The sequence below is a fragment of the Homo sapiens genome, chromosome 8 (assembly GCF_000001405.40).
Source record: "Homo sapiens chromosome 8, GRCh38.p14 Primary Assembly".
NCBI lineage: Eukaryota > Metazoa > Chordata > Mammalia > Primates > Hominidae > Homo > Homo sapiens.
The window spans coordinates 128,019,603-128,044,123 of NC_000008.11; the positions used below are offsets into that span (position 1 = coordinate 128,019,603).

The 24,521-nt window shown below is 48.1% G+C and overlaps 1 long non-coding RNA gene across 51 annotated transcripts in view, besides 3 other annotated features; it reads left to right on the top strand.

The window, feature by feature from the left end:
- Positions 1-24,521, top strand: part of PVT1 (Pvt1 oncogene) — a 306,733-nt gene that overhangs the window by 225,079 nt on the left and 57,133 nt on the right. The window contains exons 8-9 of one of the 51 annotated variants that reach the window (NR_186138.1): positions 714-1,117; positions 12,357-12,670. The exons of 48 other annotated variants lie outside the window; for them this stretch is intronic. This is a non-coding gene — a long non-coding RNA (Pvt1 oncogene). The remainder of the gene's footprint in view (positions 1-713; positions 1,118-12,356; positions 12,671-24,521) is intronic. 2 more of the 51 variants (NR_186149.1, NR_186135.1) reach the window with 2 other exon arrangements.
- Positions 5,579-6,079: an enhancer, noted in NCBI's record as "H3K4me1 hESC enhancer chr8:129037427-129037927 (GRCh37/hg19 assembly coordinates)". NCBI's record gives its function as "activates a minimal SCP1, AML or CMV promoter by ChIP-STARR-seq in primed H9 embryonic stem cells {active_cell/tissue: H9 hESC(primed)}" and the evidence as "EXISTENCE:reporter gene assay evidence [ECO:0000049][PMID:30033119]".
- Positions 18,225-18,876: an enhancer, noted in NCBI's record as "H3K27ac-H3K4me1 hESC enhancer chr8:129050073-129050724 (GRCh37/hg19 assembly coordinates)". NCBI's record gives its function as "activates a minimal SCP1, AML or CMV promoter by ChIP-STARR-seq in naive H9 embryonic stem cells {active_cell/tissue: H9 hESC(naive)}" and the evidence as "EXISTENCE:reporter gene assay evidence [ECO:0000049][PMID:30033119]".
- Positions 18,877-19,526: an enhancer, noted in NCBI's record as "H3K4me1 hESC enhancer chr8:129050725-129051374 (GRCh37/hg19 assembly coordinates)". NCBI's record gives its function as "activates a minimal SCP1, AML or CMV promoter by ChIP-STARR-seq in naive H9 embryonic stem cells {active_cell/tissue: H9 hESC(naive)}" and the evidence as "EXISTENCE:reporter gene assay evidence [ECO:0000049][PMID:30033119]".

Genomic DNA, 24,521 nt, shown 5'->3' on the forward strand with positions numbered 1-24,521 from the left:
AGGGAGGCAGGAAATGGAAACTTGCAATGGTATTGATAAGTGTGCCATTTTTATTTACGGTATCACGGATGTCTTCCTAGACCAGCATGTGCAGATTCACTTAGCTTCTCTCACTTGTGGGATGGGGTTTCCATGAAGGCTCACTGTGTTGCTTCTGGAAAGGCAGAATCGGCCCCCCAGGAGACAGGAATGGCAGCAGCTTGGCACTCGGAGGCTAGCTCCTGCAATGCTGTGCACTTGCAGTGGACAAAAAAGTAAACTTTGGTGTTTACTTGGAGTTCACTCTAGCTTTGGTTTCTTCTAAATATGTTCTTCCAATGACCTGTAGCCTAATCAACTCTGCTGGCAACACATCCCTTTGCTCTGCTCAATTCCAGTTTCCATCAGAGAATCTCATTTTTCTTTTGGGAAATGTTTCCTGATTTTCGTCTTTTCCACCACCCCTCACTGAGGCTGGGTAAAGTCCTTCTCCATGATGTTTAGAACCCAGGCCTCCTTCTGTGGCAGGGCTCTCTACCCCTTATGATTTATTGTGTGATGTCTCAACCTGTTTCCTGTGGAGAAGCAGAGAAGCTCTGGTAAACAGAATGGCCCTCTAAAGATGCCCATGCCCTAATCTCTGATGTTATGCCTATGAATGAATATGTTACTTTATATGGCAAAGGGGACTTTGCAGATGTAATTAAGGTTACTAATCAATTGACTTCTAATAGGGAGAGTATCCTTGGTTATCCAGGTGGATCCAATCCAATCACACGGGCCCTTAAAGGCAGAGGTTTTCTCCGACTGTGATCAAGAAAATGCCATGAAAGATTGTAAGTGTGAGAAGGAGTTGATGTGCCACTGCTGGCTCTGAAATGTGGGGCCCACTTGTAGGAACTGGAGGGAGAGACTGGTTGCTAACGGTGGCCCCTAGCTAACAGCCAACAGAGAAATGGGGACCGCCGGCCTACAGCTGCAGGGAACTGAATTCAGCAACATGAATAAGTTTGGAAGAGGATCCTTCCAGAACCTCCTGATAGGAGCCCAGTCCGCTGTCACCTTGAATTCAGCTTCATGAACCAGGAGCAGGGAAACCAGCTGAGCCAACCCACATTCTGACCTAAGGAGCACTGAGGTAATTATATGTGTTGTTTTAAGCCACTAAGTTTGTAGTAATTTGTTATAGTGGCTGTAGAAAATTAATACAGGATCCTAGTGTTTGGGAATGCAGGCCCCAGGCCCCGCTTTTTCCAGAGCGTGTTTGCACTTTCGCAGGGGACCTTCAAGTCCCAGTAGTAGCTCACTTTCAGGTGTCTCAGCTCAGCTTGCCCTGCTGCTCCTGAATGAGCAGGTTCTAACATCTTCCAAACACTTCATCTCCCCCACCTGCCTATAGTCACCGCTTGGTGGATTTTTACCACTGCAATGTGGGCCTTGGCTTCCTATTTCAGACCCCCTGGGATGTTTTGGTAGCTTCCTTAGGGGTCTTTTCAACTCCAGGCCCTCCCTCTGCCCAACCATCCTTCAAACTGCCTCCAGATGCAACTTCCTGGAGTGCGGCTTTGCTTCCATCGCTCCCTAGCTACAGACATCCTGTGGGCTTCCTGTTTCTACTGAATCCAGGGCACATCCCCCAGCCTAGGATTCACAATCTCTACTGGGGACAGGGGCATTGCCTCTCCAGTCCGATTCCCCAGGACTTGTGCTTTTTTTTTTTTTTTTTTTTTGAGACGGAGTCTAGCTCTGTTGCTCAGGCTGGAGCACGGTGGCGCAATCTTGGCTCACTGCAAGCTCCGCCTCCTGGGTTCACGCCATTCTCCTGCCTCAGCCTCCCGAGTAGCTGGGACCACAGGCGCCCGCCACCATGCCCGGTTAATTTTTTGTATTTTTAGTAGAGACAGGGTTTCACCATGTTAGCCAGGATGGTCTTGATCTCCTGACTTCGTGATCCGCCCTCCTCGGCCTCCCAAAGTGCTGGGATTACAGGCGTGAGCAACCGCGCCCGGCCTGTCTGGGCCATCTTTATACTCAGTATAATCAGTCCCCACAAACAGAAATGCTGTTGCAGGGTGAGTGTGCTAAAAATACTCCTGGGATTTTTCAAGTCCTTGGAGACATCCATCTTAAAATAGTGCAAAAAGAACCGAATAAATACTCATTTATGTGCTATTTTAATGAACAACTGCAGGCAATATGCCTAATATGGCAGGGAGGTCTTCAGTGTCCTTTCTCCTTCATTCTTGATTAGCGTCTGAGCTCAGATGGCATGCATCAGTATGTTTGTGGCATTACAGAGGTGCTGGGAGTGAGGGAGAGTGCAGGGGTAGGGAAGCATTACATGCCTGTAATCCCAGCTATTTGGGATGCTGAGGCATGAGAATCGCTTGAACTCAAGAGGGAGAGGTTGCAGTGAGCCAAGATCATGCCACTGCACCCCAGCCTGGGCCACAGAGCGAGACTCTGTCCCAAAAATAAAGAAAAGTCAGCTTCTGTGCTCCTGCCCAGAACCACTGAATCAGATGCTGGGTGTCAGCTCTGGACCCTGTTTGGCCTTTTCTTTCCTATGTCAACCCAGCAGAGCTGCAGGCCTTGTGTGGAGGTGGGTTACAATGTGCTCTCCTTATCCCCAGTAAAACCAGGACATTTTAAGGTGGGGACGGGGTGGGAGTGGATCAATTAACTTGGAGTCTTGGCTTGACCTTTACCCTGGATTTATGGGGCTTAGAAATAAAGGGAAAGTTGCATTCTTCTCTGAGGAACTGCTTAATTCATATCCACTCTCCCAAATAAAGCTGCTGGTTGACTGCAGCTATTTAATTCAGTGCTATTTGCTTTCATTCTGTATAGGGTGAGGATAGCTTCTGTTGGCCAGAGCTTGTGCTAGATCTCCACCTGGGTCAGGAAGGCATTTCCCTGCGCTCACAAAGGCCTTGCACACATAAGATGCACTGAAGAATTCCTGGCAGGGCCAAATCTGGTGTCCGGTTCACTCTTGGCCTTCCAAGTTCTTGCTGCCTCTCCTTTGTACCCATGATATCTGATGGCAGCAGCATGGAACTTGGTACAGTTGAAATAGCCCAAGTTCAAATCCTGACTCAGATACTAAGCTCAGTAACTTTACGTAAGTAGCATAATTATATGGATCCTCCCTTCTTCATCTATAAAATGATGTGGTGAACTGATTACAGGAATGGCCCTAATTCTTCACTCATTCCCTGTATCTCATTCTGGACTGACTGTGTCTCATAAGCTGTTAGTAAACATGACGCAAGCTGAGATTTTTTTTTTTTTTTTTTTTTTAAGACAGAGTCCCGCTCTGTGGCCCAGGCTGGAGTGCAGTGGCCTGATCTTGGCTCACTGCAAACTCCACCTCCTGGGTTCAAGCAATTCTCTTGCCTCAGCCTCCCATGTATCTGGGATTACAGGAGTGCACCACCACACCTGGCTAATTTTTGTTATTTTTAGTAGAGACAGAGTTTCACCATGTTGGCTAGGCTGATCTCAAACTCCTGACCTCAGGTGATCTGCCTGCCTTGGCCTCCCAAAGTGCTGGAATTATAGGCATGAGCCACTGTATCCGGCTGCAAGCTGAGCTTTGAAATACTGTTTCCATTTCCACTGTTGAATCTCTTTTATCACCATGAAAAGAGATTTCAGGGCTAGTCACTGGTTCCGGGAGAAGAAAGAATGACACATAGAACATAACTCAGGTGCTCTAATGGTCCCAGTTGACACCAACCTAGATCAGTTGACAGCCAGCCAACTCCTAGACCTCCATGTGAGCCCAGCCAAGATCACCAAAGCTACCTACTTGACCACGCAGATATATGGACACTTAGTGCTTATGCCACTGAGCTCGTTGTGCACCATTGTTTTGGTAATAGGTACAGTGGGAAACTCAGTAATAACTATTACTATTACAATAGTAATAACTATTGGATTCAAATCCTGCCAGGGCATGGGTTGGTTAGTGCTACATGCATTGCCTGATACATCAACTACTTTTGGAATGACTGAATGGTCTTATAAGGATAAATTATGTAACTCTTTTGCACCTGATTTCTCTATTCAGAACATCTCTAGTAGGCTGCAATCACTGCCACTCACTTGAAATTCTTTAAGAGTGGAAATGCCATTTGCTGGACATTCAGAGAGAGAGACGTGAAGTAGCTAGGTTCCTAGTTTTACGTGAGATGTCGATTGATCTACGGAGTAATTTGGGTCCCTGGCTCCAAGGCAAGCCTGTTACATTCTTCAAGGAGAAAACAGCTTGACATCAGTATCAGTTTGAGAACACAGCATGAGTGAACAAAAAAAACAGCGGTCCCCATATTTTGGGCATTTGCTCTACGCCAGGCACTTCTTATCTATTCTGCGTGGAGGAATTGCTCTCCTGATTTTTAAAGGGGACAAAACAGCTCAGAGACATCAAATAGATGATCAGAGAGCACACAGCTAAGGAGGTAACAGCTCAAACTTCTAGATCCAGAGCTACCTCACAGCAAAGGACAGCCTCTTACACCCCACCACCGTCTGCAGAGCCCACAGCAGGCATCCAGGTGAAGCTCCTCAGTTTATCAATGAAGGAATTGCACCTGTGAATGGAAGTGGCCTGCCGAAGGCTACACGGCAGTGAGTGTAACCAGATTACCTGATACCCCTTCCAGGGCCCTTGGTGTGACTTATTGAGATCTCATGGGCCAGTGGGTGTCACTGAAATTCCTGGATAAAAGTTGCTTGTGGAGGGCTGTCATAGTGGCTCATGCCTGTAATCCCAGCATTTCGGGGAGCAATTTGGGAGGCCAAGGCAGGTGGATGGTTTGAGCCCAGGAATTCCAGATCAGCCTGGGCAACATGGTGAGACCCTGTTTCTACAAAAAAAATAACGGAAATTAGCCTAGTTTGGTGGTGCATGCCTGTAGTCCCAGCTGCTCAGGAGGCTAAGGTGGGAGGATCACCTGAGCCCAGGAAGGTCCAGGCTGCAGCAAGCCATGATTGTGTCACTGCACTCCAGCCTGGGTGACAGAGTAAGACCCTGTCTCAAAAAAAAAAAGTTTCCCATGGAGACATTATCAGTTTCTAGGCCTCCACGTGAGCACCTTAAAAGAAGCACTATGGTTTAACAACAACAACAAAAGACACACCAGGGAACACCTGAGCTGCTCCTATGCGCCTGTGCTGTCTTCAGGGAAGCAAGTCAGCATCATGAGGAGGATGCCTTTTGGGAAGAGGCCTGAGGGCTGGCTAGCTGCAGGTGTGCCATCTCTAATCAATTCATTCATTCATTCATTTATTTTTATAGAGGTGGGGTCTCGCTATGTTGACCAGGCTGATCTTAAACTCCTGGCCTCAAGTGATCCCATCTTGGCCTCTCAAAGTGTTGGGATTACAGGCGTGAGCCACTGTGCCCAGCCCCAGACATGCCATTTCTAGACAACACCTCCAAGGATCTGAGGAGAGAAGCCCCTCATGCTGGCTGCCCCGGCATCTACCTATCCTTCGTTCTGCCTGCCAGCTCAGAGGGTGGGAGCGGTGCCAGGGAGCTGTTTGGGCTGGCGCAGGCCAGGCAGGAGCCCTACTTGGCTAGCAGCCCCAGGCACCTGCCACACTTGTGTATTTGCTCAGCGGTTCGGGGTACGGAAGCAGGATGCCTTCCGTCATTGCACCCTGGGTGTTCGGGGCCTCGGGGGCCAGCTGCTGGGCTGGCAGCTTCTCTGAGGAGCTGTTTCTTGCCCTCTTTGTACCCCTGTCTCTCAACTACCTGTCAGGCAGGTAATAATCCCACCATCACCTGATGTACCCAGAGGAGAAGGCAGGAGGCCTGCGCAATGTGCACAGAACAAACACTGGCAAGGTGCCTGAGAGCCCTGCACCAGGCACCTTCAGCCCTCAGGGGAGAGAGTCTCCTGTCCAGCTCACCCCAGGCACCCTTCTCCAAATGCCCAGTCTTGCACCATTCCCAGACCATTTGGGCCACATCTGAAAGAATTTGCCATACTGCCTGCCTTTGATTAGATGTTAGGGAAGATTTAAATTCGTGCAGAATCTCAATACAGCTCCCTTCCTGTTGGAACCATGTGACAGACTATTTCCAAGGCTGTTTCTTACAAGAGGATCTGCCTTACTAAGTCAGAGCATTGCAATAATTAACGTTTTGAAAGCTCCCTGATTTCCAAAGCATTTTCACATACATTAGCTCACTTAAGGTCTCCCAAACCCTGTGAATGGAGCATTCTTTTTAGCCCCATTTTACAGGTGAGGCAACTGAGGCCAAGAGAGCTTGAGTAGCTCCCCCAGTGGCTTAATGTAGAATAAGTATCAGAGCAGAGACTGGAGCCCAGATCTTCCTTATGAGAATCCAGCCTCCTTTTTTTTTTTTTCTTTTGAGACAGACTCTTGCTCTGTTGTCCAGGCCGGAGTGCAATGTTGTGATCTCAGCTCACTGCAACCTCCGCCTCCAGGGTTCAAGTGATTCTCCTGCCAGAGTAGCTGGGATTACAGGTGTGCACTACCACACCCAGCTAATTTTTGCAATTTTAGTAGAGATGAGGTTTCACCATGTTGGCCAGGCTGGTCTCAAACTCCTGACCTCAAGTGATCCATCTGCCTCAGCCTCCCAAAGTGCTGGGATTACAGGCGTGAGCCACCGCACCCAGTCCCAGCCTTCTTTCTGATTCACTCTTGTTTTGTAGTTGTGGACATTTAAGAAGACTTTTTATTTTTTTATTTGTATTTTTTTTTTTATTCAAAGGGCTTGTGCTCAAATAAAGTGAGAGTAGGGAGAGAGAAATTCATGTTTCTCTGCTCTGTTTTTTGTTTGGGCTCTCATTTAATCTCTCTGACAACCTTTTGCAGCAGGTGTTATTCTCATCCATATTTACACCTGAGGAAGCTGAGGCTCACAGAGGAGAAATATCTTTCCCCAAGCCCCACGTCGAGCAGTGGGTAGAAAATGAGCCCAGATCCCTCTGTCTCCATCTCTGCAACCTGTCTCTCTGCATGCCACATTGGCTTACGACCGAGATCAGCTGCACCAGGGCAGGCTGGAGGGTGAGGAGGCTGGCTAGACCCCTGGGAAGGCAGGCAGCACCCAGAGCTGTTCCAGCTCTGCTGATCCTGTTCGAGAGGCCAGAAAAGTTCAAATATTGGCCTTCTCCTTATAGTCTCCCACCTACCCTCCCTCTGGAAGCACAGAACTGTAGTGTGCAAAGAAAGACCTTGTGGATCCTCTGCTCTTGCCCTCTCATTTACCAAATGAGAAGACGCTCTCTGGGGAACGTGACCGGCCTCATTCCATAGAAGAGATGGAAGAGTCTGGAGCAGAATCTGGGACCCTGACTCCCAGGCCTGTGCACTGAGGCGTTCTTGTCTGCCACCTCCCAGCCCCTCTCTTTGCCTTCCTCGATCTTCTTGAGTTCTCTAATGGGTCATCTGTTGTGACCGTTGATTACAAGACACCATGCATGGTTCCCCTGCTTCCATTTATGTGTGGATCTCCCTCTGTTCTTACATAAGAATCTCAGAGATGGGTCAGGTTGTGACCTTCTCTTTGGTGCTGGCTTGAAGTTGAGGAAAAAGCCAGGCTCCGAGTCCCTTGGATCTGGGTCCCAACCCTGCCTGTGTGGCTCTGAAGTCAAGTGACTCCTCCTCCCCCTGTTGTATTCCCCGGCAGCACTAACAGTGGCTCCCCTTAGCTGGACACCTAGAGTGCCAGGCTCTGTGCTCAGGACTTCACTGTTTGAGGTCCCTGGAGAGTGGAACCTCTCACCCACAAGGTGGTGATTCCCTTGGGAGTGGGCAGCATGCAGTCAGAAGGGAACTTGGGTGGGGACAGGCATCCTATATCCTGGGTTTACCCACTCCTACCCATGCACTGATGGGCTTGACTGCCTGGCCAACACTTACTGAGCATATAGTGAATGACGGGCACTGAGGCTCAGGGGATGAAGCCATAGGCTTTGAGTCCCAGAGTCAGTGATGGAATCACCAGGGAGCCCAGGCATCGTGTCTATGCTCTGTGCCATGTGACAAGTCTCTGCCTTCTCTTCATCCTGAAGAGACCCTGGGTTCTTGCCTCCCTGGGCTGTGGCACCATGCAAGGTGGCCAAGGTAGGGGCCCTGGTGTTCTGGCCCCCAGCTAGGTTCTCAGCACTACTGAGTGCTGGCTCATGGTGAGTGTTCAGCCACTGTTGGATGAATGGAGAAATGACTCAATGAATTTCCCAGAATGCACAGATGCTGCACCTAATCCCTTGGAGTTTAACCAGCACAAGAGTTTGCACTTTGCTGGCCATCTCCTGCCAAGGCACAGCCTTCCCTGAGCCTGTTTCCCTTGTATGTGGCTCATACCTGAGGCCCCCAGCTGGCATTTGGTCCCCTCCTGCAGGCGTAGGCTGCCCAGTGCCAAGTGCACCTTGCATCTCTCCCCAGTCCTCCCACTGCTGTCTCCCGCTTCCTGCCCTCCGTCCCGCCACGGGCTCCCGCCAAACCAGCCCACACGGCCTCCTTTTGTTCAGCCACCTCGGTTTCAGGCCAACCAGTCCAGCCAGGTCCCCCAGCCTGCATTGCACACTCCTTTGAAGCCTTGACAGGCAGCCAACCAAGCTGGCCCGAGCGCGCAAGGCAGGGTGCTGGTGCCGGCGCGCTGGCAGCTGCTTCCCGCCTTTCTGGCTCCTGGGACCTGGCTGCTCCCAGGCCCATTCACATGGGGACAGAAATGCCTGGACGTTCTCCTCGGCTGGCATGGGTATTGCGTCCAGGGCCACAGGCTGGGGCTGTTCCCACAGCCCAGAGTCCTTTCCCAGGCTCCCTGTTCTCCATAGTGAAGCCCTCTGGTTTGTCCCAGGCAGTGCATCCCACAGCCTCTGTCTCCACAAAGGAGAACTGGCAGCAGGAATAGCCTGGCTGGGTTCTGAGCTCTCTGAGGAGAGGCAGGACTGGGCAAAGGGTAGGAGCACTGGCTTTGGCTTCAGATGAGTGTCGAGCGCCTCACTCTGCCATCTCTAGCTAGGGACCTATCTGCTTCATGCCTCAGTTTTCTCTTCTGTAAGTGGGGAGCATAGAGCACCCAGTTCACCGGCACAGTGAAGGGTGATGAATACTGTAGGTTAGCACATTGCAAGCTAAGTCTTCAACAGGAGTTGTGGGGAGCACTGTTAATATGTGGGGGATCATCATTCTAGTAGCTGAGGAGCATCGGAGCCTAAAAGACTCGTGTGAAAGAGGGGTCTCCTGTTCCTATTTTTAAATTTTTAAATGTTATTTTTTATTATTTTGGGGACAGGGTCTTGCTCTGTCACCCAGGCTGGAATGCAGTGATGTGACCTCAGCTCACTGCAGCCTTGACCTCCTGGGCTCAAGCAATCCTCCCACCTCAGCCTCCCAAGTAGTTGGGACTACAGGCACATACCACTGCACCTGGCTAATTTTTTTATTTTTTATAGAGATGGGGTCTTACTATGTTGCCCAGGCTGGCCTCAAACTCCTGGACTCAGGTAATCCTCCCACCTTAGCCTCCCAAGCAGCTCTTGGGACTACAGCACCACCACCATGGCTGGCTAATTTTTTATTTGATTTTATTTTTTGTAGAGTGCAGTGGCTCTATCACTGCTTACTGCAGCCTTGGCTTCCCAAGCTCAAGCAATCCTCCTACCTCAGCCTTCCAAGTAGCTGGGACCACAGGTGCACACCACCACCCTCAGTTAATTTTTTGACTTTTTTTTTGCAGGAAACGAGGTCTCACTATGTTGCCCAGGCTGGTCTCGAACTCCTGGGCTCAAGCAACCTGCCTACCTCATCCTCCCAATGTGCTGGGATTACAGGTGTGAGCCATTGTGCCTGGCCTCCTATTTTCTAAATTTCAAAAGTAGTACATGCTGACTGCACAATTTAAGAAATTTAGATAAGTGAAAGAAAACTTAAAAAATACTTGTTGCGGTCGGGTGCGGTGGCTCACGCCTGTAATCCCAGCACTTTGGGAGGCCGAGGCAGGTGGATCATGAGGTTAGGAGTTCAAGGCCAGCCTGACCAACATGGTGAAACACCGTCTTTACTAAAAATACAAAAATTAGCTGAGCGTGGTGGCGCTAACCTTAGTCCCAGCTACTCGGGAGGCTGAGGCAGGAGAATCACTTGAACCCAGGAGGTGGAGGTTGCAGTGAGCCGAGATCGCGCCACTGCACTCCAGCCTGGGCAACAGAGGGAGACTCTGTCTCAAAAACAAACAAACAAAAAAACACTTGTTGCTGGGTGCTGTGGCTTGCGCCTCTAATCCCAGCATTTTGGGAGGTTGAGATGGGAGGATTGCTTGAGCCCAGCAGCTTGAGACCAGCCTGAGCAACAGAGTGACATCTTGTCTTTATAAAAATTTTTTTTAAAAAATTAGCTGGACATGGTGGTGGGCACCTGCAGTTTCAGCTACTTGGTGGCTGAAGAGGAAGGATCACTTGAGCCTGGGAGTTAGAGGCTGCGGTGAGTTGTGACTGTGTCAGTGCACTCCAGCTTGGGTGACAGAATGAGATGCCATCTTAAGAAAAAGAAAAATTAAAAAAACCTTTTTATCCTACCAACGTATATACTCATGTGTGCACATGTACATATGTATGCATACCCCTACACACACTAGAATTGCTAGTTTATTACCATGTGTAATAATAGTTTATATGGACATAACAGTGCATGCCTATTATATTATGTACATATGTAATGCATTTTATATACTTTTCATATATATTTCATTTCATATTAAATTCTTGCATATACATATATTTGAAAAAGTAAAGAATAGGTTCCTCTGGTTTTGTAACCAGCTTTTGTCATTTAATGTAAGTTGAATTTTTTTTCTGTTAGGGAATTTTTCTGCAGGAAAATATTTTAAGGCCACCTGGTATGTTATAATACAAACATGTTATATCCATTTGACAGTTGAGGAGCTGGAAGTGCTGAGATGCAACATAAGTTCCCCAAAATTATGCTACTTGAGGCACAGCTGACATCCAGAAGCTTCTCTGGGAAGGCTTTTGGAGTTCCCCAAGGCAGAGTCAACAAGAACATAAGTTTCTTAAGAACAGGGACTGTGTGCCTCACTTACTGTCATCTCCCCAGCATCTGCCACAAAGTGGACATTCTGTTAATAGTTACTGAGTGAATAGACACAGGAAGTTCAGTCTTCTTTTTTATCTCATTTCTTGCTCAAAGCTCATCTCAGCATTGAACGTGTCTTTCCACATGGCCTCCTCACTAGCTTCTGTACCCCTCAAGTCCAGGACCATGTCAGATTGTCTTTGAATCCCTCAGCCCCAGTCCCAGGCCTGCCCTAGAGCAGGTGTTCAGTAAATGACTATCGAATTGTGGAAACAGGGATCTCTCCATCCTGGATTCAAGACAGCGCCCTCCCTATGAAGCTTTTCTGAGCTCTTTCACACCAAAGTTCTCCCAACCATCGTGTTGACAGCTATCTGCCTGCTGCCCTCAGTCCAGGAGCAACTTGGACATCAGCTCTGCCTGTCACACTGGGGTCGGCGCACCTGGCCTGTTCCAGGACAGATCACAAGGCTGAGGGTTAAGTAACACCTGGAGTGGTTAGGAGGCTGGGCACCTCCTTGTGAATCTCCCGGGCTGCGTGGCGGGTGGCGGGTGGCTGGCAGGGGAGGGACCCTTGGCACTGCTGTGGCTTTGTATTTGCTGCCAGCGGGGCCTTTGATGCCCCAGGGGCTGCTCGCCCAGCCAAGGGCATTGTAGAACACAAAAGCTGCAGAAAGCAGCACAAATAAAGTGAAAGCGACCCAGGAAACTGCCAGGGAGCTTATCAGCCTGTTTCCTGATCATAGGTATGGGGTGTAGGGAGGCACGGGGAGCATTTCTGGGCCCGGTGATTGCCTGCACGTTGCCAGGGCCCCTGGTATTGCGTACAAAGCATTAACCTGGAAGCTAAGCAAGGCTCTTCACCTTGTAAAACTGACTGGATGAGTCCAAACTCTTAGAGTTTTTGTGAGGATTAGACAGGTCGATAAGTTAAAGTGCCTACTCTGTGTGTGTGCATCTGATAATGATAACAGTGACAGTAGTAATAACGGTAGCAGCTAATACTTTCTGAGCATTTCATATATGCCAAACACTGTTTTAACTGATTTTTATATTAATTCATTTAATCTTCATAATGACACTAAGAGGTAGGTAGTACTGTTATCTTCATTTTATAAATGAGAAAATCGAAGCTCAGAGATGTTAAGTAACTTTCTTAAGATCTCACAGCACATGAGAAGACAATCCGGCGTTTGAACCCGGGGCTCTGGTTGTGAAACACTGGTCCACCTTGCTCCCCATTTCTTCCCCCTAGCCTTTGGAATATTGTGTTCCCCTAATTATTATGATAGGACAACCATGTCGTGATGATGATGATGACGACGATGACAGCGATGGCGGTGGTGAAAGAGGAAGACATCCCTTCATTTCATGTAGCAATCTGCTTCTTGCTGGGATTTCAAATCCATTTTCATTGTTGATCCTGAGAACAAGCCTTGGAGGCGGAATCATTTTGAAATCCCAGGAAACCGGGCCTTAAGAGACGGCTGAAGACCCGAGCAGTCATTCGGTGGAGTCTGTGAGGCCCAGAGCTGAGGAGGAGGACATGGGTGTAGAAACGGTCGCAGCCCACACTGCTGTGCCTACAGCTCTGGATCCTGACTGTGTGAGTGGGCCCAGGGCTGCTGGAACCTGTGGAGCTATAGCAAGAAGGGTGAGGAGGTTGCCCCACTCCTGCTTCCTTCATGAACTTCGTTGTTCCCTCAGGACAGGAAACTTAGGCTGTTCCGTTGACCTCTCCAGACAGCTTAGTGGTGATCTCAAGCCTTCTTATGAGATGGTGGATCACAGCTACCATTCATTGAGTTAAGACCTTCATTTATTTCATTTCATCTCATCAGTAGCCCTGGGATATGCATATTATATTTCCATCATGGTGTACCATAATTGCGTCAGTTAATTTTTGCCACGGCAATGCCAAGTAACAAACTGCAGAATCTCAGTGGCTTTCAATATTAAGCATTTATTATCTACATATCTGGGGAGATTGGCCAAGCAGCCCTGCTGATCTTGGCTGGACTGCCTCCATGTCTAGGGTGTGGCTGCCTGGTGGCTGATGTGATTTTGCTGGAGTGGCTGGGGTGTCTCCACTCTGCCCTCTGTGTCTTTCGTCTCCTTCTGAAACCAGCAGACTAGCTGGGGGAATGTCGTTCTTATGGTGAAAAGCACAGAGCAAGACAAGACCACTCCTAGGTGAGTAAGCCCTTTCCAAGCTTCTGCTGGCCTCTCTTTTGCTAGCACTCCATTGGCTGAGGCGAGTGACCTCACCACACTGAGTGTCGGAGTGGGAAGGCACTGCAGAGGTGCATGGTGGAGGGTGAGGGTGCAGGTAGGGTGAAGAGTCACCCTTCAGGTAAGGGTGCAGGTAGGGTGAAGACCTGTTTGCACTTGATCACAGGTGATGTCATCTCAACTGTCCCTCAGGCTTCTCTGAGCTTTGCTGTCGTCCTTACTTAAAACTATTTGCATTGTTAGAAAGAAGAAGAGACTAGCAGGCACCTAGCAGTGACTGAATACCCAACAATCCACTTAAGGAGATGAATGGTATGATTCTCCGAGGCTCTGTGGGACCACGGGGCTTTATCAAGGTTGCCTAACAGAGCAGTGGCTCAGCCAGCATTGAAATGTCACCTGCCTGGTTCCCATGTGTGTGTGCATGTGTGTGTGTATGTATGTGTGTGTGTGAACCCAAACCTGTGCCCAAGTCAGACTTATGTGACTCTTGCAGCCAGTTCTCCCTCACAGTGTTGCTTGGAAGGAAACTGGAAGGAAAAGAAGCTTTAGGAGAGAGAAATTGTGACCTCCTTTCCGCAGGTTGCTATCGCCACAGGCTTTCCACAAGCTTCTCCCTGGGCGGCCACCCCAGAGGCTAGAACATAGCAGAGGATTTTTCGTAAAATCTTTGGAGTCTTCAGAAGAAGGTCTTTTGAGATAGGTCATGGAGAAATGAGGCCTTTGAGCCATAAATTGGCCATAGTGTGCAGGCTGGGGCCTCACCAGTTCAGCGAAATCTCCAGCCTTGAGAACTGAAACTGACTTGGGGCTCTGATTTTAACAATGGCCTTGAAGTAAGGCATTCCTCCTTGTGTAGTTGGAGCTGCTTCCCCTCCTCCTTTGTTCCCCTTCACCATGGCATAGCCCCAGGGAGTCCCGATGCCAAATTCAGTCTTTGGCCTGTATCCTGAAGTCAATTCCCTTAGGAATACTTTTCTTCACTTGCCTGCCTGAGGCCCCTCTCCACACTTTTGCTTGCTTTCCCATGTTAAGAAGACGTATTTGAAAGTGATTCCTGGGTGGCCAGAGTCAGAAGGCTGGGCAACCATCTGCCTTGCCGGCCACCTCCCCAGCCCTGCCGAGCTGTGAGCTTACAGGTGGTACCATCTGCACTTCTGCACCTTTTTTTTTTTTTTTGGCCCTGACCTTTGGCCTAATAAAAGCAAAGTGCAGAGCTTTGAATGAGGGAGATAGAAACAAGATGTTCTCTACCTCCCCCACCCCCTCTTTTCTCTCCTCCTTCTCCTCCTCCTCTTCTTCCTCTTTCCTTCTCTACACTTAGTCTGTGCCAAACATAAATCCAGGGATGTATTTATTTTTCCCAGTGAACTAAAGGTTTATAAGGAGGATGCCCTTTTCTCTGCAAGGACTGGTATTCTCTTCCCTTGGAAAACTCCTGTTCATCCTTCTGGATCTGGGGGAAGAAACCCATTTCCCTCAAGACTGTTCTCACCACCTGGGTGGAGTTGCTGACTTTCCATTTTGGAACATTACACTTCCAGGGCTTCGCTCTGGTCCAGAATACACTTACTGTGCTGTTCTAGCTCATCTCTTGGTGTGCGTGTCAACTGAACCATTTGAAGGGGATGACTGTGGCTCCTTTACTTATCTCTGTGTCCTCTGTGCCCACTACAGGGTCAAACACAGCATGGAAGCTAAACATACATGTGCAAAATGGACAAATGTAGGTACAAGCAGGGGCACCCTTAGTTCAGAAGGGAGCTTGGGCTCCAGATCACTTAGCTCTAACTTGGAAGCTGGAACACCTGGCTCTGTTACACAGACAAGACCTGTGTCTCCATATATACAATTTATTCCTCACACTTGGCAAATGTGTGCCGAAGCTGAAAGAGCTCAACCTTAGAGTTTGACAGGTTCAGGTTTGAATCCCTGCTCTGCCTTTTCCCAAGCAGGGGACTTTGAGTAAATGACTTCACTGCTGCCTTTGCCACAGTTTCCCCATCTGTAAAATAAACATAGAAACACTTGCTTTGCCTGATTTGTTGAAAAGAATAGAGATGATGTTTGCAAAGTCCTGGCATGAGCAGTAGCTATTATGGCTATTTTATTTACCCTGAAAAGCAACTGTTCATAGTATCACAAGGCAGGCAGGGGTAGGGGGCAATAAAAGCATTTGTGGCAAGGATCCAGTTATTTGCAGGCTTCTCTTCTGTCTGGCTTTGTTTACTGTCATGCAGGAAAAGTGCCTTCACCAGGGCACAGCAGTAAACCTGTTGGCTACTCTAGTCCTGCCTGGGTTCCCAGGAAATTGGCATGAGAGGAGCTGCCTGCTGCTTGTGGGCCTGCTATTTAGGCTGCAATAGCTGTGGGAACACACAGGGTTAGGAAAACAAACACATGACTCATTGGGGACTTCCGACCTCAAGCCAATGAGGTGCTGACTCCTTGCAATTTCTAAGGGTTCCCAGTACATATGTATATGTCTGCTCAGCCTTCCTTGGACCTGAGCCCATCTGTCTCTGCTCTCACACTTTGTGGGGGGCCAAGGGATGGAATGCTTGTGTTCCTACCCTTCATCCCTCCTTCTGCGTTTATTGAGCCTTGCTAGGTGCTGGGAATGTGATGACGAGTAAGACAGTGCAGGGTACAGACAAGTCAACACATGTGGTCTGCTGGACAGCAGCCCCCCAAGATGACCATAATCCCTGGGACCTTCGACTGTTATCTCACATGGCAAAAAGGACTTTGCAGATGTGATTAAATTAAGGATCTTGAGATGGGAAGAGTGCTGAATTACTCAGGTGGACCCAAAGCAATCACAAATAGTTACTTATTAGTGGTTCCTTATTAGAGGGAGGCAGAGGGAGACTGAATACCCTAGAGGAGGAGATATGACCATGGAAGCAGAGATTGTAGTGATGCAGCCAGGAGCCAAGAAATGCTGGCAGCCTCTAGAAGTGGAAGACAAGAAACTGATTTTCCTTTGGAGCTCCAGAAGGACCCAGCCCTGCTGATGCCTTGCTTTTAGTTCCTTATGACTTAGTTCAGCCTCTGACCTCCAGAAGGGTAAGAGGATAAATTTGTGTTGTTATTAGCTGCCAAGTTTGCGATGATTTGTTACAGCAGCGAGAGGAACTAATACAATGTGTCCTTGCAGTATTCTAAGTGTTAACACCACTTCCCTAGTGATGAAGGAGACTGAATGGCTCAGTGGTTCCGAGGTAGATCCCTGGAGTCCCAGTGCTTTGGTTCAAGTTCACGTTCACCTTTTGTTAGTTAAGGGGCCTTTTGCCATGTTACTTCTCAAAGCCCCAGGTTTGTCTGTCATCTGATGTAACATCATGATGTAAAATAAGGGTAATAGTGATTTCCATCTCATGCATGGTGGTGAGGATTGAGCTGTGAAATGCACTTGAAGATGGCTGTCTGGAGCACAGTATGTACCCCAGCACCTTCCTCCCGTGCCTTACCTCTTGTACCTCGTCATCGACAGGAAGGCACTGGATGCTGGAGAACCTCTCCACAGGGATGTCACAATGCAGGGCAATGTCTGCAGAGGTGTTCTGGGCTGAGGCTTCTGGATAGGATTGATAGGACATTTAGTAGTTAGCAGTGGGAGGAGGCAGGGGTGCCCGAGACCCAGCGCTTCTGGGGGGCTGGGCACTGTGCTGGGCCCTCAGTAGTTTAGTGGCTATTCTGAAACAGTCACTCACTCCTGATCCTCCCGTCACTGCAGTTCACAGGCAGCCTTAGTTTTACCTCTGTAAGCTACTCATGAGCATACATCATTCTTTTATTTAGTAAATGGGAATCTTGCCCCTGTCATGTACCTGTCAGGCATTGCAGGAGTGAGTGGAAGCTGCTGCAGGGTTACCGCACCTGGGTTTTGCCAGAAAGGTAATAGAAGGCTGTCAAAGCAGCTCCTGGAGGACAGTTGAGCAAGTGACTGTTAGAGAAACCTGAGGCTTCGTTAGGGCCAGGACTTGGCTGCAGGGTGCTGTTCCATTCCTGCCTGCCTCTGCTGCATTGAGGATGCAGCCTCCAGGCCCACCATGGGTTTGGGCTCCTTCCCTGGGACATTTGGGATGATTTTGATGCATAACTTGCTGTTGAGATTCTCACCAAATAGCTGCCTGGGCCCCTCTCCTCCTGACCAGTCAGCCACCGCCACTGCCACTGCCAGAGGTCCACAGATGGAAGCTCCCCCAGGCAGTGGGAAGAGGCAGGGGTGCCCGAGACCCAGCACTTCTGGGGAAGTTGGGCACTGTGCTGGGGCCTTAGGCCCTGCAGTCACCACTCCTCTGAGGGGCAGGAGCCACTGGGTCCATTTTACAGTCTCCTCACCTGTCTTTCAGTTGGTGATGGGACATACGCCCATTTGTTTTCATTTTGCATGTATGTTCAGAGGGGAGTAATCATTATCACTGCTTCCAATTCTATAATTTATGTGTTTAATGGATTTTTCAGGTGTGGGTTTGGGGGAGCTTGCTTTGATTCGCTATAGAGAATGTTCTTTTCCCCACCTGGAAATGCAGTTGTCATTGTTATTGTGTTGTTGCACTTTGTTTGCATTCCTGAGGCCGTGTCGGCAACAGGCTTGGAAAGGGAAGTGGGGGACAGCCTTGAAGCATCTGGCCTGTAAGTACAGTCCATTTGGAGGGAGGATCTCAATGCATTTTTTAGCATAAATACACGCTAGGCTAGCTGTGCCCACAGACAGAGGAGGTACCCAACCCTCCCACGTTCTCTGCCCTTGCTGAGAAGCCTGGGTTCTGAACCCCAGGCCTCCGTGGGACACAGAGCTTCTCAGGAGCACACGAAGCTCAGTCTCTGCCCCTGCCTTCCAGGTAAACACAAATGCTGCTCGCGTTGGTGGCTTAGAGCCCAGCAGCACATTTAGTTCAGTGCCTTTCCTGGGCTTGGTGGGCAGGTGAGGGTGCAAAGTCACCCTTGATGAAGAACCACTGGTGTAGACTAGTGGTTCCCAACATTTGCTATACCAGAAATCCCTTTTACTGGTTCTCCTTCCCTGTGAGGGAGTTTATCAACCAAATAAACTTCATTGTTAAGTATTTATTCCTCTACTTTCTTATCTAAAAATATCTGCCAGTGGGAGTTCCTGATCTGGGTCACCAGGCTGAGTTGATATAATTCTGGCCAGTATCGAACAAAGAAGCTTGATATTTTAGGTGACAACCGTGGTCTTATTGGAAAGGAAGGTGAAATTTCTGGTAGACTTCTTGACCCTTCGAAAAATAGACTGAGGACCCCCGTGGAGGAGTCCTGAGATTGGAATCGCTGGTATAAACTTTTATTTTGCTGTTTGGAATTAAGAATTTGGATCAAATGTTGATGGAAGGTTTCTTTGAGCTCCACATTTCCCTGGGAGCCTCCATCCTGTCTTGTCCCCTTTTAGCATGAGCAGTGTCATTATTCAGCATGTATTTAGTCAGTGATCGCCACATGCCTGGCACTTCCCTGGGTGTGAGGTTGCCGCGGTGAACAGCAGATGCAGACATGGTACTAATGGGGTCTGTAGCCAAGTGAGGGAGGCTAAGAAAGAAAGAATGTCATTTCCAGCAGTGATAAGTCCTAAGAGGGAGGTGCGGCACGTGAATGGGCTTGAGGGTGCTGGCCTCTGGAGTAACAAGCCTCTGTAAATAATCAAGTCACCCATATCCCAGCCCTGCCCTGAAGCACAGTCTTCACTTGGCCTGTTTAGGATCATTTCACAGATTCATTGACAGGGCCCAGTTCCTGCTAGTTGACTCCTTGGGGACGGAATCCTCTATTGCTTGCAAAAATATGCTCTGCAGTAGGCTGTGTCTTGCTAATTGAGAGGGATTCTGAGAAGTGGAGCAGCCCTGCCTCACTAGATTCAGTAAGAGGAGGCCTTATAGGTACGTTGAATCTGGCCTGGTGGACAAAGCACCCTGCTGAGAGCTGGGCAGGTCTTCGGAAGGAGATTTAATGTTCTTCAGTAGGAAACATGGTAATTCCTCTCTCCCTCTCCAGATGTCTGCAACCAAGTCATTATAACACAGAAGGGACCTTGCAGCCATTGTGTCTTTGTGCTCAGGTACTGTCTGAGGGAGGGAAGGGAGGCAGAAGGAAGGGGAGGGACGGATCAGCTCCATTTGCTGAGCCAACCTACTCAGCACCAGGTGCCCCTCCTCTTGGCCACTGGAAGGCTTTCTTTCTTCTGGCCACAATCAAACACCGTTTCTTCTTTCTGCCTTGGTTCCCTGTGAGTCAATGACTGTTGCCGTGGGAAATAGTAGCTGCTTGGCAGGGGAGTTCATGAAGGTTGCAGAGCACCTGCTCAGGTTCTTGCCTCGCCTCCCTTCCCCCTTTCCTCCCTCCTCCCACCTTTCCTTACCTGGCAGCTACCTAATTCTTCTCTTTCAAAATACAGTTCAGAGAACAATCCACACCAGCTGGTTGGGGAATCATCCAAAGAGACAATTTCTACCCTGTGCCCACCTCTCCTCTAGTTAACACCTTTCAGTGTTCCCTCCCTTCCTGTTGTCCTTAAGTTAATGCCCTAAAGTCATGGCCCTTGCTCAGCCTCTAAGGCCCTGGTGGGTGCTGCTTCCCCTTGTAGCTGGGTGGGTTTCAGGAAATGCCCCATCTGGTCATGAGAGATAGGCAGCCATACCTCAGGGGAGATGGTGGCTGGGGAGACAGTCTAGCCACAAAGAGCAAAAAAGATAGGGATGAGATGGCTCAGAGGGAGTCTTGGTAAGGACTTTGGCTCTTTCTCTGTTGAGATGGGACCATCGGAAACTTTTTGGCAGGTTCTGATTTGCATTTTAATGAGATCCTTCTGGCTGCTGTGTTGAAAGTGGACTGGAAGTGGCAAAGATGGAAAGACAGACCAATCAGGAGGCTATTGTGGTAATCCAGGGTATTGCAGTAATCCTGGCCTGGTGGAAGCAGAGGAGATTGTGAGACATGATCAGATTCAGAATATATCTCAAAGGTAGGATTTGCTGGTGGATTGGCTATGGGGTGCCGTAAGAAATATGATCCCGATTGTTGATTATCCTGTGCAACTACAGAATGAAGTTTCCATTTATTGATATGGGCCAATCCTCAGGGTGAGCAGGAGTGCCTATTTGTTTTTTTGTGGATAGAGGTGGAATTGTTATGTTAGAGATGTTGGTCAGACATCCAAGTGGAGACAGTAAGGAGGCAGCTGCATGTACAGATCCAGAGTGTCCACTTGGCCAGGCCATGGTACTCAGACATGTGATCAAATACCAGTTGAGATGTCACATGGAGTACGTTTTGAATGAGGTTAACATTTAAATCAGTAGACTTTGAGGAAAGGACATTACCCTCCACAATGTGAATGGGCCTCATCCAATAGTTGAAGGCTTTAAGAGTAAAAAGACTGAGGAAATGGGAAGTGGGAATTCTGACCCCACATTGCCTTTGGACTCAAGCCGCAGTATCAGCTCTTCCTAGGGGCTCCAGCTTGCTGGCCTGCCCTGCAGAGTTTGGACTTGCCAGCCCCCATAATCACACGAGCCAACTCCTTAAAATCTCTCTCTTTCTGTCTCTCTCTTCAACATACACACATCCTACTGATTCTGTTTTTCTGGAAAATCCTAACACATGGAAGAAAGGGATAAATTTGGATATCCAAAATTTATGCAAAAATGGATATTCTGATTTGTATTTGGGACTTAAGTTATTTAAGCCTTAAATATGAGCGTGATCATCAAGAGACAATTGTGGGCAGAGAGGAGCCAGTCCATGGGGCCGCACAGCACAGATTAAGAGATTCAGAAATTATGTGTGTATGTTTGTGTGTGTTATATGTGTTTGGGTGTGAGTGCTTGTGTGTGTGTATGTGTTTTTGTGCTTTTGTGTGTGTGTGCTTGTGTTTGAGTGCTTCTGTGTGTTGTTTGTGCTTGTGTGTTTGTGTATGTACATTTGTGCTTGTGTATTTGTATGTGTATTGTTTACGTGCATGTGTTTGTGTGTATATGTTTGTGCATGTGTGCATATGTGTGTGTGCTTGTATATGTGTGTGTTTTCTGCTTGGGTGTGTTTGTGTGCATATGTTTGTGTGTGCTTGTGTGTGTTTATGCTTTTGTGTTTCTGTGTGCTTTGTGCTCGTGTGTGTTGAGTGCCTGTGTGTTTGTGTGTTTTGTGCTTGTGTGTATTTGTGCATATGTTTGTGTGTGCTTGTGTGTGATTGTGTGTATATGTTTGTGCATGTGTGTGCATGTGTGTTTCTGCTTGTATGTGTGTTTCTGCATGTGTTTGTGTTTTGTGCTTGTGTTCGTGTGTTTGCATGTGTGTTTGTGTGTGTGCATGTGTGTGTGTTGTTTGTGTGTGTGTTTGTGCATGTGTGTGCATCTGTGTGTTTATGCTTGTATGTTTGTGTTGTGCTCATGTTTGTGCATGTGTGTGCATCTGTGTTTATGCTTGTATGTGTTGTGCTCATGTGTTGTTTGTGTTTGTGTGCATATGTGTATGTGTGTGTTTGTGTGCATGTGTGTTTGTGCTCGTGTGTTTGTGTGCATGTGTATGTGTTTGGCGTGTATATGTGTTTGGTGTGTGTGCCTGGTGCGTATGTGTTTGGTATGTGTGTGTGTGTGTATGCATGTGTGTTGTGTACGTGTGTGTGCTTGGTGAATGTATGTGTGTATTTTGTGTGTGTGTTTGTGTGTGTTTGCGTGTGTGTACATGTGTTTGGTGTGTGTGTGTGTGTTGTGTGCATGTGTGGTGAATGTGTGTGTATTTTGTGAGTGCGTGTTGTTCGTGTGTGTTTGTGTGTGTGTTGTTCGTGTGTGCATGTGTTTAGTATGTGTGTGTTTGTATTGGTTGCTGAGCACTTGCTATGTGTCAAGCATCCCCTATTACTAGATGCAGCCTCTCCTTAAAACAGTTTGGATGTCATCATGGAGAGCCATCTATCTCCTTACTTTTTCTGGAAGTTTGGGAAGGGATTCTCATGGGCCACCTATGTATTTGACTGATGCTTTGCAGTTCCTGTATCACAGTCCCTCCAGTGTTCTGGGCAGCAGACTGGCATCCAGCCATTCCTTCTCCTGTGTCAGAAATTGATTATTCTGGCATCTTCCTTCCATGCCATTTTCAGTTCCCCTAACCTCCAGTCTCTTGAAGCCATTTAGCATCTCTTGGTACTGAGTAATCCCGTTTATTAAAGCATGTGAAGCTTCCTTAATGGCAAGTGTTGGTACAAATAGTTTTGCAGCCCCAAGGGACAGGGTCATTTGAACTCGGTGACTGGAAAAATGGTTGGTGTGAATAATGTGAAGTGCAGGACCATGGTGATGAATTTCCTTCACCCTCTTTGTTCCTTGTTTTCTTTGTAAGGCAGAATGTTTAACCCATATTTTCCAAGAACTGTGTAGGTGGGTTGCTGGGGACAATTGATTTTTAGAGAAGTATTATTTCTCTGGATGTAGAAACCAAGAAGCAAAGAATAATATTGAGCAAGAGTCCTCCTGATGACCAGGCCTGGGCTAATTATGGCGATAGTGTTGCAATGTGTTTGGACCATCATACAGTATAAGAACACCACTTCCCCCCAAGATGTGCAGGACACAGGATACTCCCCAGGGCCTTGCTCTAGCCCCATGTCACCCAATGTCAAGTGGATCAGCTACTTTCTAAGACTGTAATTGGTCCTGAAGAAGAAGGAGTGGAGCCTGGCAGGAGGAAGGGACACAGGTCTTTGTGTGAGGAATACTAACTGGTAATGGTAGTTCTGGTACTGCCCTGGCTTGCTGTGTGAGCCTTCTCACCTGTATGAGCAGTGGGATCACCATCTATGAGGAGATTGGACTAGGTGGTTTATTTTATTTTATTTTATTTTATTTTATTTTATTTTATTTTATTTTAAGAGAGATCTTGCTCTGTCACCCAGGCTGGAGTGCAGTGGCACAATCTTGGCTCACTGCAACCTCTGCCTCCTGGGTTCAGGCAATTCTCATGCCTCAGCCTCCCAAGTAGCTGGGATTACAGGCTTGCACCACCACACCTGGCTAATTTTTGTATTTTTAGTAGAGACAGGGTTTCACCATGTTGGCCAGGCTGGTCTCGAACTCCTGGCCTCAGGTGATCCGCCTGCCTCAGCCTCCCAAAGTGCTAGGATCACAGGCGTGAGCCACTGTGCTCAGCCTTGGACTAGGTGCTTTCTAAGGAGTGGGGATGGGTCAATGGGAGGGTGCCTTCCCTAAATAAAGGGGCCAGCCCTCCATTAGCATCCACTTAATGTTGTATTGTGGGAGGGTGCATTCAGTGCTGCCAAATTAATTTTTGGACTTTGAATATAATGAAAATTTCTGAATTTTGGATGTAGGCAATAACTTCAAAAATATTTGAAACACCCTGTGGGTTAGATCTGTAGCTGGATAAAGCCCCCTAGGACTTCACGTTGCAACTCAGCATTCCTGAATTGCTCTCCATGGCTTCTCACAGGCTGGGGGTCAGGAGGTGAGGGAAGCTCTTTTGATTTGTTTTGTTTTGAAATCAGTGTAAGTATCTTCAAGGAACTAAGAGAACAAAATCAGACTGGAAGCTGGGTCACAAGATGCTGTTGCCTAGAGACTTAGACAGAGGGCATGGCATTCGCTCGCTCATAGAAGGAGATGGCCTACGGCAGGAGCCTCAGCAGCCCATCCCCCTGGGATTGATCCCTGTGTCCTCCACCTGCTGTCTCTGGCTCTGTGGACTCCATGGCATTCAGAGCTGGGGGAAATCAAGTATTTCAACATCTTAATTTTTTCAGTCGATAATTATATTTTGGAGATCTTTGTGTGTCCGTATGTGTGTGTACACATACATTATTTTTTAACTGCTATATAGTATTATTTTCCCAAACTATTTCCTACACACACACACACACACACACACACACACATACACAAGGAGGCCAAACATCTTGTCTTTTTTTTTTTTTTTTTTTTAAAGACAGGGTCTTGCTCTGTCATCCAGGCTGGAGTGCAGTGGTGCAATCACGGCAGCCTTGACCTCCTGAGCTCAAGTGGTCCTCCTGCCTCAGCCTCCCAAGTAGCTGGGACTACAGACATGCACCATCACACCCGGTTAATTTTTTTATTATTATTTATTTATTTTTTTTTTTTTTTGTAGAGAAGGGGTCTCACTATGTTGCTCAGGCTGGTGTCAACCTCCTGGTCTCAAGTGATCCTGCTGCCCAGGCTCCCAAAGTGTTGAGACTA